Raw genomic sequence first — 14,849 nt, 5'->3', positions numbered from 1 at the left:
TGATAGGTGGGCTGCCTTTTATTTCCCAGGTGATAATGTTCCAAAGATGGTTAGCTTAGATCCTTGTATACTTGTTGAATTAATAGTCGGGACTACTCCTTTTTCCAGTAAGGGAATGAGAGAAGAAGCTACGTGTTCCTGACTTCCGTTTTTGTGGTTTTTAAAAATTACACAAATAATACGTATTCATTGTAGACATTGTAGACACATTAGAATATTCAAATAAGCAAAAATAAACAATTTAAATTGTCTAAAATTCTACCACCCAGAGATAACCACTGTTAACATTTTGGTGTATATCCTTCCAGAGTTTTTCCCATAAAAATATATACATTGGAATATGTATATATTTATTTAGAATGGGATCATTACAATCCATATTGTTTTGTAGACTGCTTTTTCACTTCTTACATGTGACTGTCTTTCTATGTCAATGAATTTACACCTTTATCATCATTTTAATGACTGCATAGTATTCCATTATAAGGATGTACCATAATATATTTAACTAGTTCTCTATTGTTAGGAATTTAGGTTTCCAATTTGAAGTTCTTTTTGGAATAAAAGTTATGGTGAGCATTCTTGTATGTACATCTTTGTACACTTGTCTACTTTTTTTAAAAAAGAAGTAGAATTGATGAGACATTTCAAAATTTTATGTGTGGTATTTTGGTTTTTTTAAAATATGGACTCGGATTGCCTTCCTGAAAGTTTGTGCTGATTCACACTTTCTCCAGCAGTATGTCCAGAGTGCTCTCTCCCCCGTACCCTCGTTAATACTGAATGGTTTTTTGTTTTTGTTTTTGTTTTTGTTTTTGTTTTGTAAATCATTACCAATTTGAAAGGCAAAAGGTGTCTTTGGGTTAAATGCATTTCTTTGATGAGTACTAAGGCTGAACTCTTTTTTCCCTTATTGCTCATTTCTGTTGAGGTTCATCGTTTTTTCTTACAGGTTTGTAAAACAAAGCTCTTTATGTATTGAGGATACCAACCCTTTGTTATATGTTGCCTTTTTTTTTTGTAATCAGTTTGTCTTTTATCTTTTTTTGTGTCTGGCAGAAGTTTTAAACTTTTATAGATTCAAATGTCATTTTTTTCTTTATGATTTCAACCCTCCTTACCCCATGAGTATTGTTCACCTGTATTCTAATACTTGTACAATTTTATTTTTTCACATCTAAATGTTTAATCCATCTGGAATTTATTTTGATGTAGAGATTGGGCTTAATTTTCTCTGAAATAATTAATCAGTTCCCTTGATTAATTATGAATGGAGTTGGAATTTAGAGTGTGTTTTGCCATACACTGTTGTAATGATGTTTGGTGAGGCTTAAATGAGACCATTTGTAATGCATTTAACTATTAAACTCAAGGGTTCACGTGGAAAGGTAATAATCATTTATTATATGATTTCCATGAAAAAATGTTTTTATAGTTTCAAATAATTAACTTTTGAAGCACATCCTGTTGCAAATTTAGCAACTGCATACTCATATGGTGGTTCTACTTCATTAGAGCCCTTTAGGGGTGAAAATCTTCCTCAATTTTTTTTTTTTTTGTCTGCCTTCATTTAACTTTAACTGATGTGAGGTCTGTTTTGGTAACTTCCTGCTTGCTGTGCTTTTCACAGAATGGACAGCAAATTATGGATGAACCTATGGGAGAGGAGGAGATTAACCCACAAACTGTAAGTAAAATATTTTATCACAAAGGGTATAGATAAATGAAATACTGTAAAGTTATTATTATTTTTCAGCTGAGCAGAGTAATCATTTTACAGTGTTAGAAACTTGTCGATCCTTTCACATTAACTTTACCAGACTACATTATTGAGTATGCCAGGGACCTTTCTAAAAACTGTTTGATAAGAGTGATTTTAAGAGAATGATAAAACAAATTGCTTTATATTGTTGAAAGTTTTTCATTAGTGCCTAAAGCTTATGTTTTTTTGTTTCTTGGGGATTTTTTTGAGATGGAGTTTTGTTCTTGTCGCCCAGGCTGGAGTGCAATGGCGCGATCTTGGCTCACTGCAACCTCAGCCTCCTGGGTTCACAGGATTCTCCTGCCTCAGCCTCCTGAGTAGCTGGGATTACAGGCGCTCACCACCACACCTGGCTAATTTTTGAATTTTTGTAATTTTAGTAGAGATGGGGTTTCACCAAGTTGGCCAGGCTGGTCTCAAACTCCTGACCTCAGGTGATCTGCCCACCTCAGCCTCCCAGAGTGCTGTGATTACAGGCGTGAGCCATGTGCCTAGCCTGAAGCTTATGTTTTTAAATAACCAAATTGAACGTAAATTTGTTAAAGACAAAAATATAAAGGTCATACTTTACAGATACGTTTAACATAGAAAGTGGACATTCACCATTTCCTCATCTGGTTTTTTTGTTGTTGTTCACTCCTGAATCCCCAGTAACTAAACCAATGTGCCTGGCACATAATGGATACTCATTAAATATTACATAAATGAATTAATAAATTGTTCCCTACCACCACACACAGAATAACCATTGTCAGCAGCTAAGTTATAGTCATCTTGATATTTTGTACGTAAGATAATTATTATTTACGTTTACAAAATACATATTCTGCAACTTGTTCTTTTTACTTAACATGTCTTGAACATCTTTGTATGACAGTACATATAGAACTACCTCTTCTTTGTTTTGTTTTTTTGTTTTGGGGGGTTTTTGAGACACGGTCTCTCTCCCTGTCACCCAGGCTAGAGTGCAGTGGTAGAGTCATGACTCACTGTAACATCAAACTCCTGGGCTCAAGCAACCCTCCCACCTCAGCCTTCTTGGTAGCTAGTACTACAGGCACATGCCACGACACCCAGCTAATTTTTTTTTTAATGTTTGTGTTTTTTGTACAGATGGGGTCTTGCTATGTTGCCCAGGCTGGTCTTGAACTCCTGGCCTCAGGCAATCCTCCTGCCTCATCCTCCCAAAGCATTGGGATTACAGGTGTTAGCCGCCATGCCCAGCCAGATCTACCTCTTTTTTAAGTGGTTACACAGTTACAGTATTCTATTTTATGAATATCCTATATTTAATGTAATTTTCCCCTGTTTTTGTGAATTTGTGTTTCAGTAGGCTATAGTCTTAGAAAAGGATGTACTGAAACCAAGGGCATAAACATTTAAATCAATAGACATTTGTCAAATTTCCTGTCAAAATTTCAGTATATGAGAATACTTGTTTGAGTATTGCCTACTCAACACTAGGTATTATCAGAAAATATTTTTAATTTGAGTGACTCTAGATAAATAATACTTTCCCTTTTTGTCTTTTTCTTTTTTTCTTTTTTGAGACAGAGTCTCGCTCTGCTGCTCAGGCTGGAGTGCAGTGGTGTGATCTCAGCTCACTGCAACTTCCGACTCCCAGGTTCAAGCCATTCTCCTGCCTCAGCCTCCCGAGTAGCTGGGATTACAGGCAACCGTCACCACGCCTGACTGATTTTTTGCAATTTTAGTAGAGATGGGGTTGCACAATGTTGGCCAAGCTGGCCTCGAACTCCTGACCTCAAGTGATCCACCCATCTTCGCCTCCCAAAGTTCTGGGATTACAGGCGTGAGCCACCATGCCTGGCTGACTTTCCCATTTTAATTTGCATCTCATTTGCTTACTAGTGAAGTTGAGTATCCATCATTATTGGCATTTGTTATTTTATGTTTTGCTCAGTTTTCTCTGGGGTTACTTGTTGTCTCCTTATTGGTCTGTACAATCTCTGTATATATTCTGGATATTAACTCCATGTCTATTATGTATCTTGTAATATGTTTTTTTAAACATTAATTATGTGCCTTTCATTGTAGTATGTACGGAAGTTTTTTGTTTGTTTGTTTTTTGTTTGTTTGTTTGTTTGTTTTTTGAGACGGAGTCTTGCTCTGTCATCCAGGCTGGAGTGCAGTGGCACTACCTCGGCTCACTGCAGCCTCTGCCTCCCGGGTTCAAGCGATTCTCCTGCCTCAGCCTCCTGAGTAGCTGGGATACAGGCACGCGCCACCACGCCTGGCTAATTTTTGTATTTGTGGTAGAGACGGGGTTTCACCATATTGGTCAGGCTGGTCGCAAACTCCTGATCTTGTGATCTGCTCGCCTCGGCCTCCCAAAGTGCTGGGATTACAGGCGAGAGCCACTGTGCCTGGCCAGAAGTTTTCATTTTTAAATGGTCACATCTGGCTTCTGGGTTTCATGCTTTGGTTAGAAAATCCTTCCCTACACTAAGGTTACAAAAATAATCCTTTTACATTTTGATCTTTTATAGTTTTTTGGTGTTTTTTGTTTTGTTTTACATTTAGATCTGTGATCCACTTGGAATTTAGTACCTGGTATGAGGTAGAAATCTAACTTTTCTTTCCAAATAGATAGCCTGTTATCCTAACCTCTATTTATTGAATAAATAAAATCTATTATTTCCCTACTCATTTGAGATACCTCTTTTATCATGTATAAAATTGCCTTATACCCCTTGTATCAGTTTCCTGCTTTGCCATAACAAATTACCACAAACTGGGTGGTTTAAAACAACAGATGGCTCTCGGGGAGGTTCCTTTGTTGCCTATTCCAGCTTCTGGTGTTTGCCAGCAATCCTTGGCATTCCATGGCTTGTAGATACATCATTCCACTCTCTGCCTCGGGCATCAGATGATCTCTCTGTTTGTGTCTGTGTCTAAATTTCCCTCTTCTCATGAGAGCACTAGTCATTGGATTGGGACCATCCCACTCCAATATGACTTCATCTTAATTACATCTGCAAAGACACTGGTTTCAAATAAGGTCACATTCACCGTTACCGGGGATTACTTGAACATACCTTTTTGGAGGGCACAATTCAACCCACAATCCCCCTGAATATTTTGACTTTACATACTTTTTCAATTACTGTCATTTTATTATATGTTTTTTTAAATGTGGTAAAGCAAGCCTTCCCACCTTTTTACTTTTGTAAAAAGTCTTATATGTAGTCTTATAAATGTAGTCCTACACATTTAATCTTCCAGATAAACTTTACAATCAGTTCATCAAGTACTTCTGAAAAATTTATTGGGATTTTTATGAGAATTGCCTTAAATTTACAGATTAACATGAAAAATTATTTTAACAATATTGAGTCTTCACATTCAGGAACATTCATTCTTTCTGATTTTCTTTTACATTCTTTATCAAAATTTTATGGTTTCTTGGCTGGGTGTGTTGGCTTATGCCTGTAATCCCAGCACTTTGGGAGGCTGAGGCAAGAGGTTCGCTTGAACCCAGGAGTTCGAGACCACCCTGGGCAGCATAGTAAGTCCCTGTCTCTACTACAGGTTTAAAAATAAGCCAAGCATGGTGGCATATGCTGTGGTCCCAGCTACTTGGGAGGCTGAAGCAGAGAATCACTTGAACCCAGAAGTTTGAGGCTGCAGTGAGCTATGATCATGCCACTGCACTCCAGCCTGGGCAACAGAGTGAGACCCTGTCTGAAAAAAAAAAAGTTATAGTTTTTTACATACAGTTCTTGTGCATTTGTTAAGACAAATTATGGGTATTTTATAGTTGTATAGTCTTTGTTATGTCATAAGTGGGATTTTTTTTCTGCTATGTTTTCCATCTGGTTATTGCGTATGTATATTTAAAATGTTAGGTGTTTCTATCTGTTTTTTAGCATCTTAGGAGTGTTAACTTTTCAGAAATCAAACAAATTGTCATGAACGTTATGTCAGTTGTGGAAGAATAAGATCAGTTTAACCTTCTGCTTAAAACACCTCCATAGTTTTATGGTTCCTTTAAATAAAAACCCAACCTCCATAACATGACCTACCAGGCCCTGCATAATAAGGTTTTGCATACTTCTCTCCACATCCTCTCTAGCCGCACACCTCTACCCTCTACTGAAAGTCCAGTCACTCAAATGTATCAGCTTCTCTTTTGCTTATGGGCTTTCAAAGGCAATGTTCCTTCTCCCAGAATTCTTTTCCCTTACCGCCATCCCCACTACTTAATTCCTGGTCATCTTTCAGATCTGTTTAGATGTCATTTCAACTGAGATGTCTTCCCTTTACAACTACCACTTCCACTTTGACCTTGAGTTAAGTGTTTTTCCTTTTTGCTGCCACGGGAGCCTATGCATACCTTAAATGGCAACACCATACCAGATTCCATTGCTTATTTACTTGGTCTATATTCCCTACTAAACTGTGAATTGAATGAGGCAGTGACCAAGTCTGACTTATTCCTTGTTTTATGTCTGTGCCCAGTACCCAGTTGGTGTTCAATAAGTATTTGTTAATTAAATGAATGAATGGATTAAGTTTTAGCTAGCATAGGGACCCAGGCATGGGGCCTAGTGCCCTGAGCTACCTTCAGATTCCTACCCTCTCCAAAACCATTTGAGGCAGTTTACTTCATTAGTCTGTAGTATATATATTTACATGTAAGCTAATGTAAAAACAATCAGAAGGAAAACCTCCAAATTTTTTATTCTCTGTAGTCTAAAAGCATTTTCCATTGTGATGTTAAATGGTTTGTACTTTCTCCTACTCATGGCTTTAGTAGCATTTACATCTGCAAGAACCTGCATTCTAGAGACAGGTCAGAAAGATGCAGGACTAAGATACTACCAGCAATGTGGATGAGACTGTTGAGCAGATCATTCCAGATTATACAAATTAGGCTTAGGTGTCAGATAAAAGCCTGGTATTTAATATTTATTTAATGATATTAAATACAAAAGATTGTCAAAATATTTATTAACCTTATAATTTAAAATTGTATTTGCTTTTTATATATAATTAAAAGTTTTCCTTTTGTCAACTACTAATAATTTACATAGGGAACGTTGAGATGTTGTATTATCTATTTGATGTGTTACAAATTACTCCAAACTTAGTGGCTTAGAACTACACACATTTATTATCTCCCAGTTTCTGTGGACCAGCAATTTGGGCAGAGCTTAGCCGCATCTTTTGGTTCAGAGGCTCTCTCAGACTTGAAATTAAGGTGTGGACCAGGGGTAGAGTTTCATCTGAAACTTGACTAGGGAAGGATCTGCTTCTAAGCTCACATGGTTGCTGGCCCAGATTCCTGGTCCACCAAAACTGTGAGATAATAAATTTATGTATGGAGGTCGTCAGCTGGTAGGCTTTCTTGCAGGTTCATTGGCCCCTTTTCCATGGGCTACAATGCAGAATGTAATGATAAGCCACTTTCGACTAGGACAAGACAGTAGAGAAGGTGGATAATAAGAAATCTGGGTCCCTTAATGACCTAATGGTCTAGTGACACCTCTTCACCCAAAAGTATGCTCTTAACCTATGGACTGCTCTGTGAGGGGAAAAAAAAAAAGGCACTTACTTTGTTTGAGTTGTCGCATTTGGGGATCTTTTTCTTATAGTAGCTTAGTCCATATTCTAACTACATCTAGTCATTCACTAACAAAGTAGTTAATGAATGTCTATTAGGTGCCAAGTACTCTGCTACATTCGTTGTTACAGAAGCATATAAGGGAAACTTGCAGCTTTAAAAATGGCAAAATAAAGTTGTTTTTGTCCTCTTCTTCTCTGGGAAATTACCGCCCAAAACAACAAGGAGAATAAGAAATCAGAACTTTGGTCTTTGAAATCAGAAGATATCTGTAACTTGAACCACAAGATATAAATATGAAAAGCAGATAGAAGAGTGGTAACAAGATGAAATTAATAGAACATAAGTGATTTTAGAGGAATATCCTAATGGTGAGCAAGTCTTATTCAAGGCCCCCAGAGCCTCAGAAGAGCTCAAAAATGGGGTCGCCAGGTACTGTGGAACATGGACGTATGGCATGGGGCTGAAAACAGAGATTGGTTGAATATTGATATAAAGAGTTTCTAGATCCTCTCTCCTCTGGAGACAGAAGATATTTCACAGAGAAAACCAGAGAAGCTGTATACTTGGGCACCTTGGACACAGGAAGAAGTAGGGTAAGGCACTGGGCTGGAAACAGGGAGGTCAAGTGAAAACCTATTACTGAATGGTGACCTGGTCCCATTCCAACCACTAGGGACCATATCCTCCAGGAAGGAGGATGAGCGTTGTGACTGAAGAAATGTCAGATACTGTCCTTTGGGAGACCTTTAGTGTAAAAGCTGCCTGGTTGGCTAGTTAACCTATAAGAAAGCCTCCCAGTTGACAAGCCAATAACTTCCAGGCCACTTCCTAATGCCTCACGCAAATATTTATGGAAAGCCAAATATCACCAGTTATTTGAGGAAGTCTTCCAGTATAAAAGAATGAGATCTTGGAGGAACAAACAATGCAGGGAAAAAGCAAGTTTAATTAGTGTCCTCTGAGTGTTGAGACAAAATTGATTCCCCAAGAAAAAGTAACTTGCCATAAAAAAGAAATCATAAAAGAAGAAACTCTTAGAAGTTAAAAATATAATAGGAATGTTTTGTATTTTAGTAGAACATTTACAAACTAAAATTGAGGAAAGCTCTCAAAAAGTAGAACAATAAGAGGTAGAAAGTAGGAGAGAAAAAGAAAGAAGAGCAATCTAACATCTAACTAATAGGAATTCCAGAAAGAGACAATAGAGGAAATGAAGGGGAAGAAAGCAGGAAAGAAATACCATAAGAAACATTTTTTTTTACGTTGTAATATCTCTGAAATCAGAATGGTTATTATAATCCATAGTATGACATATATTAATTGACAGCATCTTTTCTTTCATAATGGTATAGTGATAATCATGCTTTTAGATTAAGTGGAATACTAAAATACCAAATTTTAAAAAAAAAAGCAATTTTCCAAAATGAGGACCATGAGTCTCCAGATTACAACGTCCCTCTGAAAGCCTATTAATGAGAGAAATTTTAAAAAGCCCTACTCTCAAGAAGGCTCATCTCTGAAATATCAAAACACTAGTGATAAAGGGAAGACCCTAAAAGCTTTTAGAGATTTTTTTAATCCTATATAAAAGATTGGATAGAAGAATATTAGACTTTTCAGCATCAAAAGTTAGAAAACAAGGAGCAACGCCTTTAAAATGCTTAGTGAAAATGATTTTCAGCCAAGATATTTTCAGATATGGACCTATTTTGGGAAGTCGCTGGAAAATGGGCTCTGCCAACACTAGAGGGTTATTAACTAAGTAAGAGAGACATGGGATTTGGCAACAAAAGATCCAGTACTACAAGCATGATGAAAGTTTATTCCCATTATGATGATTAAAGGAAGCTTCAGAAGACTAGTTCATTCAGTAAGCTTAGAGAGTACTCAGTCCAGATTGAAGAAGACAGATAATTTCAAGAATGCTGCCTCCAGGAACAGGATTGGGGGAAGAGGTGGGGGAATAGAAGTGATGAATCTAAATAGACTTGGGTATTGAAAATTCACTTGAGAGGCTGTTGCAGAGTAGGAAGAATTTGAAATAGGTACAAAGAAAATAAAAGCAAATTAAAAAACAAAGCAACTGTAAACTTAAGGAAAAACAAAAATTGTACACAAGAGATGTAACTAAAGTATATTCTTTACCTCGGCAGTGAGCAGTGTTTACATAGTCATAATAATTGTAAAGACTAAATATTGATTTAACCAAAATCTGTGATATGAGTGCCAAGTCATCTGTAATAGGGTGTCTAAAGGTAATATCTGAAATTGATGAATCAAGAGAAAGTATTATAAGGTTATTATTTATCACATAAAGGCAAATACCAGAGGGAACAATGAAAAGAACTGAAAGGGTACCAAGAGCATATATATTGCTGCTTTCTCATTACAAGCCTTGAAATGCTTTTTGACCCTTTATAAAGCCTTTGATAAAAATTCAAGTGAAATTTAAAAAGTAGTTGTAACTGGTGTGATCAGGCAAAAATTCACAGAAGGCATGAAATTTAACCTGATTCTTAAAAAATAGGTACAGGATTTTTGAGAAGTAAATGTCAACATTTGGGTAAATGCACTTTTATGGGAAAATGGTGTAAACAAAAGTCAAAGGGAGGAAAAGTGAGATGTGTTGGAGATAGCTAAATCAGTTTGACTAAAAGGATAGTCATAAAGGAGAGCCCGATTTCTCCTGAACATTAAATACCGTCACTCAGACCTTCTTAGTGTATGGAGTTAATCCTGTGATGTCTCTTGAACATATCCCCTTGGTTTCTATTTGTGATAGAGCCATTCTGTTCTGGCTGGATTTTTCTGTTCTTCACACACTTAATCTCTTCTTTTGCCCTTTGTTATTTGCCCTGCTATCTGCCTGTCTCCCGTATCTTAGATCTACTTCTTATTTATGTATTTATTTATTTATTTATTTTGGAAACAGGGTCTCACTCTGTCACCCAGGCTGGAGTGCAGTGGCTCACTGCAACCTCCGCCTCCCAGGTTCAAGCAGTTCTCCTGCCTCAGCCTCCCAAGTAGCTGGGATCACAGGCACATGCCACCACACTCAGCTAATTTTTGTATTTTAGAGATGGGGTTTTACTGTGTTGGTCAGGCTGGTCTCAAACTCCTGACCTCAAGTAATCCACCTGCCTCAGCCTCCCAAAGTGCTGGGATTACAAGCATGAACCACCATACTCGGCCCCACTTCTTTTCCATCTTCTGGCATTTTAATGCTGTTATCCTTTCTTCTGGCTTTCTAAAGGTTCAGCCTTTTCCTGTCTTTACTTAACTGAAGTAAAAACTTTTACTTCACACAAAGTTGCCTTAAAACTTGCATTTGAGCATCCAAAATGATCCTTAACAGCCATGTTAACAGCATACCATTGCACACCTATTACAGCCATCATGGTTCAAACACAAACTGTGGAAAGAGAAGCCCTAGCAGAGTAGACAATAGGCAGTGAATTACTCACTCAACACAGGAAAATACAATAGAGTGCTCATTGGCAGGGAAAATTTGTACCATGGTATATTAATAACACTTATTGACTGATTGTTTATTGTCTGCCGTTCTAACTCTCATTGGTTGAGAGTGTATTTGAGTACTCAGAGCTTGGGGGAAAATACCCTAGTAGATTTAAGTATATACCACTTAGGAAAATATTTCTGAGATAAATAGCAGTATAATTAGTACTGCATGGTGGAATTAAATAGGGTGTATACACCAGGAAAATTTCCAAGCACAGGCAAAGGTTTCCCTTTGCTACATTTTTGGCTGTCTTTCAGGGCTATTTTTTCACTTCCTAGTGTCCTGTTCCTCCACCCCTAAGAGCTTAAAAAAAAAAAAAACAAAAAAAAAAACAAAAAAAAAAAACCTCCCCTTTTTATCATGGCTTACCTTCCCTCCTATGGTGCCTCTGACCCAAAATTGCTTCTCTTCTGTTCTAGTATATTCATCACAATACCCATTCCTTCAGTTTCAGTGATCTCATCCATATTTTGAAAGAAAGCAAAGTGACTTAATTATGTTCAAGTATGAATGGTTGGTTGGTTGAGTCAACCTGAAATACTGGCATATGGAAAGTTGTAACCCCTTTACCTAAATGAGTATTTTAATTTAACTATTTTAGACAAGCATGACTAAGTAAAAAGAACTTCAGGCTAAGCAAGAAAAAAAATGTGTGGACAGGAAGAGAAGTGATACCACCTAGGGTATATTGTAACTTACTGCAAAATTCAGACCTGGGGCTATGGTGCTGCTGCCTCTCACCCTCTCTTCATGCCGACGGGAGATTCTGTGAGTGAAACATAGCATGCTTTCCATTTAGACAGGACTTTGAAAGTGCTCTAGGAAATCCCGCTCAGTGCTCTAGGAAGACACTACCATTTGTTTCAAGTTGATCATCTTCATGAAACTTATTTCCCATTTCTGGTTTAAAACCTTAGGCTTTTACCACTTTATAACACTGTCTATTGATGGATGTGTGCTTAAAAAAATTAACTGTCCTGCACTTAGATGGAAATCCTTATAAATTAAATCTTTTAGTGTCTGAAAAAAGGAATGATCCACACACAAAAAAGTATCCAGTGGAATCAATTAAGAACATGTTAATTTTAAGTTTTTGTCGTATGGGTCGATTTTTTTTTCAACAGGGTTCAGTCATCATGGGGTCATGAGGATGGTTAATAATTGGGTTTTATCATGGTTGGGGTTTTGCCAGACAGGTGTTATGTATGGTGTAGAAAAGTTTTCAGGAACTCTGTCACAGTCCCCATACTCAGCCCTCTTCCTTTGGGGTCTGATGAAAAGGTTCAGCACCTCCTGTTTTTTTACCTAAGTCAGTCACCGACCATTCATGTGCACTCTCCTTCCCCAAACCAAATTACCTGGTTATGCGTCCACCAACATCATGACCACTTCCACATCCAAACTATAAGAACTTGGGCAGCAGATTATTTAACTTCTCTTTAAGCCTTAGTCTGTTTCATCCAGTGTGGATAATAGTTCCTACCTCATTGGTGAGAATCAGCTGAGATAATTTCATGTAAAGCACAGTGCCTAGAATATAGTAGTATCTTAAATGTTATTGTTATACTTGAAAGAAAACTTTATTAATAAATAAGAGAACTCAAAGCAACTAAGGACTCAGTGAAGGAAACTAGAAAAAAAGAACTACAAAGTAAACCTATAAAAAGCAAGAGGAAGGAATTAAATATAATTTCAAAAATCAGCGAATTAGAAAACAAGGGAAAACACACAAAAGCAAATCCACAACATTAGGAAAGCAAAACAGGATATAAGCACAGATAGGAAGGAGATTAAAACATCATAACAACCCAAATATTTACAGATAAAATGATATAACGTCTGAGATTTGCTTCAAAATAATCAACTACAGGAGTTGGGGAAGTGAGCATATGAAACAAGATTGGCTGTGAGTTGAAGATTATTAAACTTAGGTGATGAGCACATGAAGGTTATACTATTCTGTCTACTTTTGCATATGGTTGGAATTTTCCTTAGGTTTAATTTCAAAAACTTAATAGAATACTAAGTGTAACAGTATACCAATATGAAAGTTGGTGAAATGTATGCTTTTTTAGGAAAATCTAAATTTGGGAAGGGAGAGAGAAACAGTATACCAATAGCCTTGGGAGAAGTTGAAATCTTAAAAAATTAGCACTACCACACTTTCCGTCCACCCTTATAATGCCAAGTTCAGTGATTTCTTAAGAGAAAAATCTTCTAAACTTTCAAGAAATAGATCACTCTGTGGTCTTTAAGTTGTCCCAAAACATAGGAAAAAATCTGCCTTGCCTTCTTGTTTTATAGAATTAGCATAGTCCCGAAAATGAGTTAGCATAGAAAAGGAAACCATGTGCCAGTTTAATTTATGAATATAAATGCAAAAATCCTAAATAAAATATTTACAAATTACGTATAGAATTATACTAAAACAATGGATTTTTCCCGGAAATACAAGCATAGGTCAATATTAAGAAATTTATTTGTCTAAGTTATCAGTAGATCAAAGGAAGAAAAATTAAGTGACAATATTAATAGATAAAAAGACATTACACAAAACTTAGCACTCATTCCTCTTTTAGTAAAGAGGAAATAGACTTTAACACTATATATCTAAAACCAAATATTCACATTATGTCTGAATGAATTAGTGAGTGTATCTCCAAGTCAGGATCAAGATAGCATTTACTACTGCTTACTTTAAGCTCTGTAGACGATGGGAAGTTTGGAGTTTGTTCTGTGATGGGAAGCCATTGAAGAATTTGAGGTAGGGGCATAAATTAGTCTGCTTTCTGTTTTAAGATTATTCTGGCTGCTGTTATTAAACTAATGATACCGCATTGGACACTATATCTCATACCCTAAACCATAATGATATATGTCTAGTCAATAACCAATGTTATTTCTTTAAATAAATAAAAATTTCTGACAAAAAAAAGATTATTCTGGCTGCTGTGAAGATAAAGGATTTCACAGGGAAAATTTAGAAGCAGAGAAACCAGTCTTATGGCAATAGATGATAGTTTGTACTGGGAATGGCAGAGGAAATAGAAATAGACAGATTTTAGGTTTATTTTTGAGATAAAATTAGTAGAATTTATTGAGGGGTTAAATATGAAAGGAAGGAAATTAGATAAGAAAGGAAAGACCAGAAAGGACTCATAGGTTTTTGAGATAGGTAATAATGTCATTGCCTAAAATGAGCAAGATTAGCTTCCCATTACACTTGAAATAAAATCCAAACCCAAATTTCTTGGGTCTAAGGCCTCACTTAATATGGCCCTAAACCTCTTCATTTCCTTCCTCTTTCCTTGATGTTCATTGCATTTTAGCCACTGTGGCCTTTCCTTTGTGTCTTGAATTCATTAAGCTAATTCCTATCTCTGTGCTTTGGCATTTGCTGTTCATTCTGTTTGAGGACTCTACCCCATGAGTCAGCAAACTTTGTCTATAACGGGCCAGATAGTAAATAAATATCTTAGACTTTGTAGGCCATATGATCTCTCTTGCAAATACTCAACTCGGCGGTAGCCATTGTGGGCAAACACAGTTGAAGATAATATTTAAACAGAGATGGACATGGGCAGATTTGGCCCTTAGGCTGGCCAGGCCTGGCTGTAGTTTACCCCTGCCCAAGGTCTTGATGTGGTTCCTTCCTTATTATTCAGGTTCTTCCTGGAGGACAACGTGCCAAATAAGTTAGGATCCAAAACCTTAATGCTGCATACTCTTGAATGTACAGTTCTACTTCTAGAAATTATTTCTAAATGTGAATGTGTACAAAGGATGGGACAGACCATCGTGTAGAGCAAAGACCCAACAATAGGAGATTTGTATAATAGAATTTTCAACAGTTCTTAATAATGCATTGAAGATTAGAGAACAGGGGTCAGCAAACTACACTCATGGGCCTGTCACCTGTTTCTGTAAAAGATGTTTTATTGGAACGCAGCCTTACCCATTCGTTTTCTCACTGCACTGGC

At 36.8% G+C, this 14,849-nt stretch overlaps 1 protein-coding gene across 14 annotated transcripts in view; it reads left to right on the top strand.

Moving 5' to 3' along the window:
• Nucleotides 1–14,849, top strand: part of RPS6KA3 (ribosomal protein S6 kinase A3) — a 117,187-nt gene that overhangs the window by 30,653 nt on the left and 71,685 nt on the right. For all 14 annotated transcript variants that reach the window (XM_011545561.3, XM_017029719.3, XM_047442335.1 and 11 more), the window contains one exon: nucleotides 1,631–1,687. In XM_011545561.3, coding sequence (XP_011543863.1) covers nucleotides 1,646–1,687 — 42 coding nt within the window. In that variant the 5' untranslated portion in view covers nucleotides 1,631–1,645. The remainder of the gene's footprint in view (nucleotides 1–1,630; nucleotides 1,688–14,849) is intronic.

Source organism: Homo sapiens, chromosome X (assembly GCF_000001405.40).
Source record: "Homo sapiens chromosome X, GRCh38.p14 Primary Assembly".
NCBI lineage: Eukaryota > Metazoa > Chordata > Mammalia > Primates > Hominidae > Homo > Homo sapiens.
The sequence above is the reverse complement of the archived record's forward strand: the minus strand, read 5'-3'. Positions and strand labels throughout refer to the sequence as shown.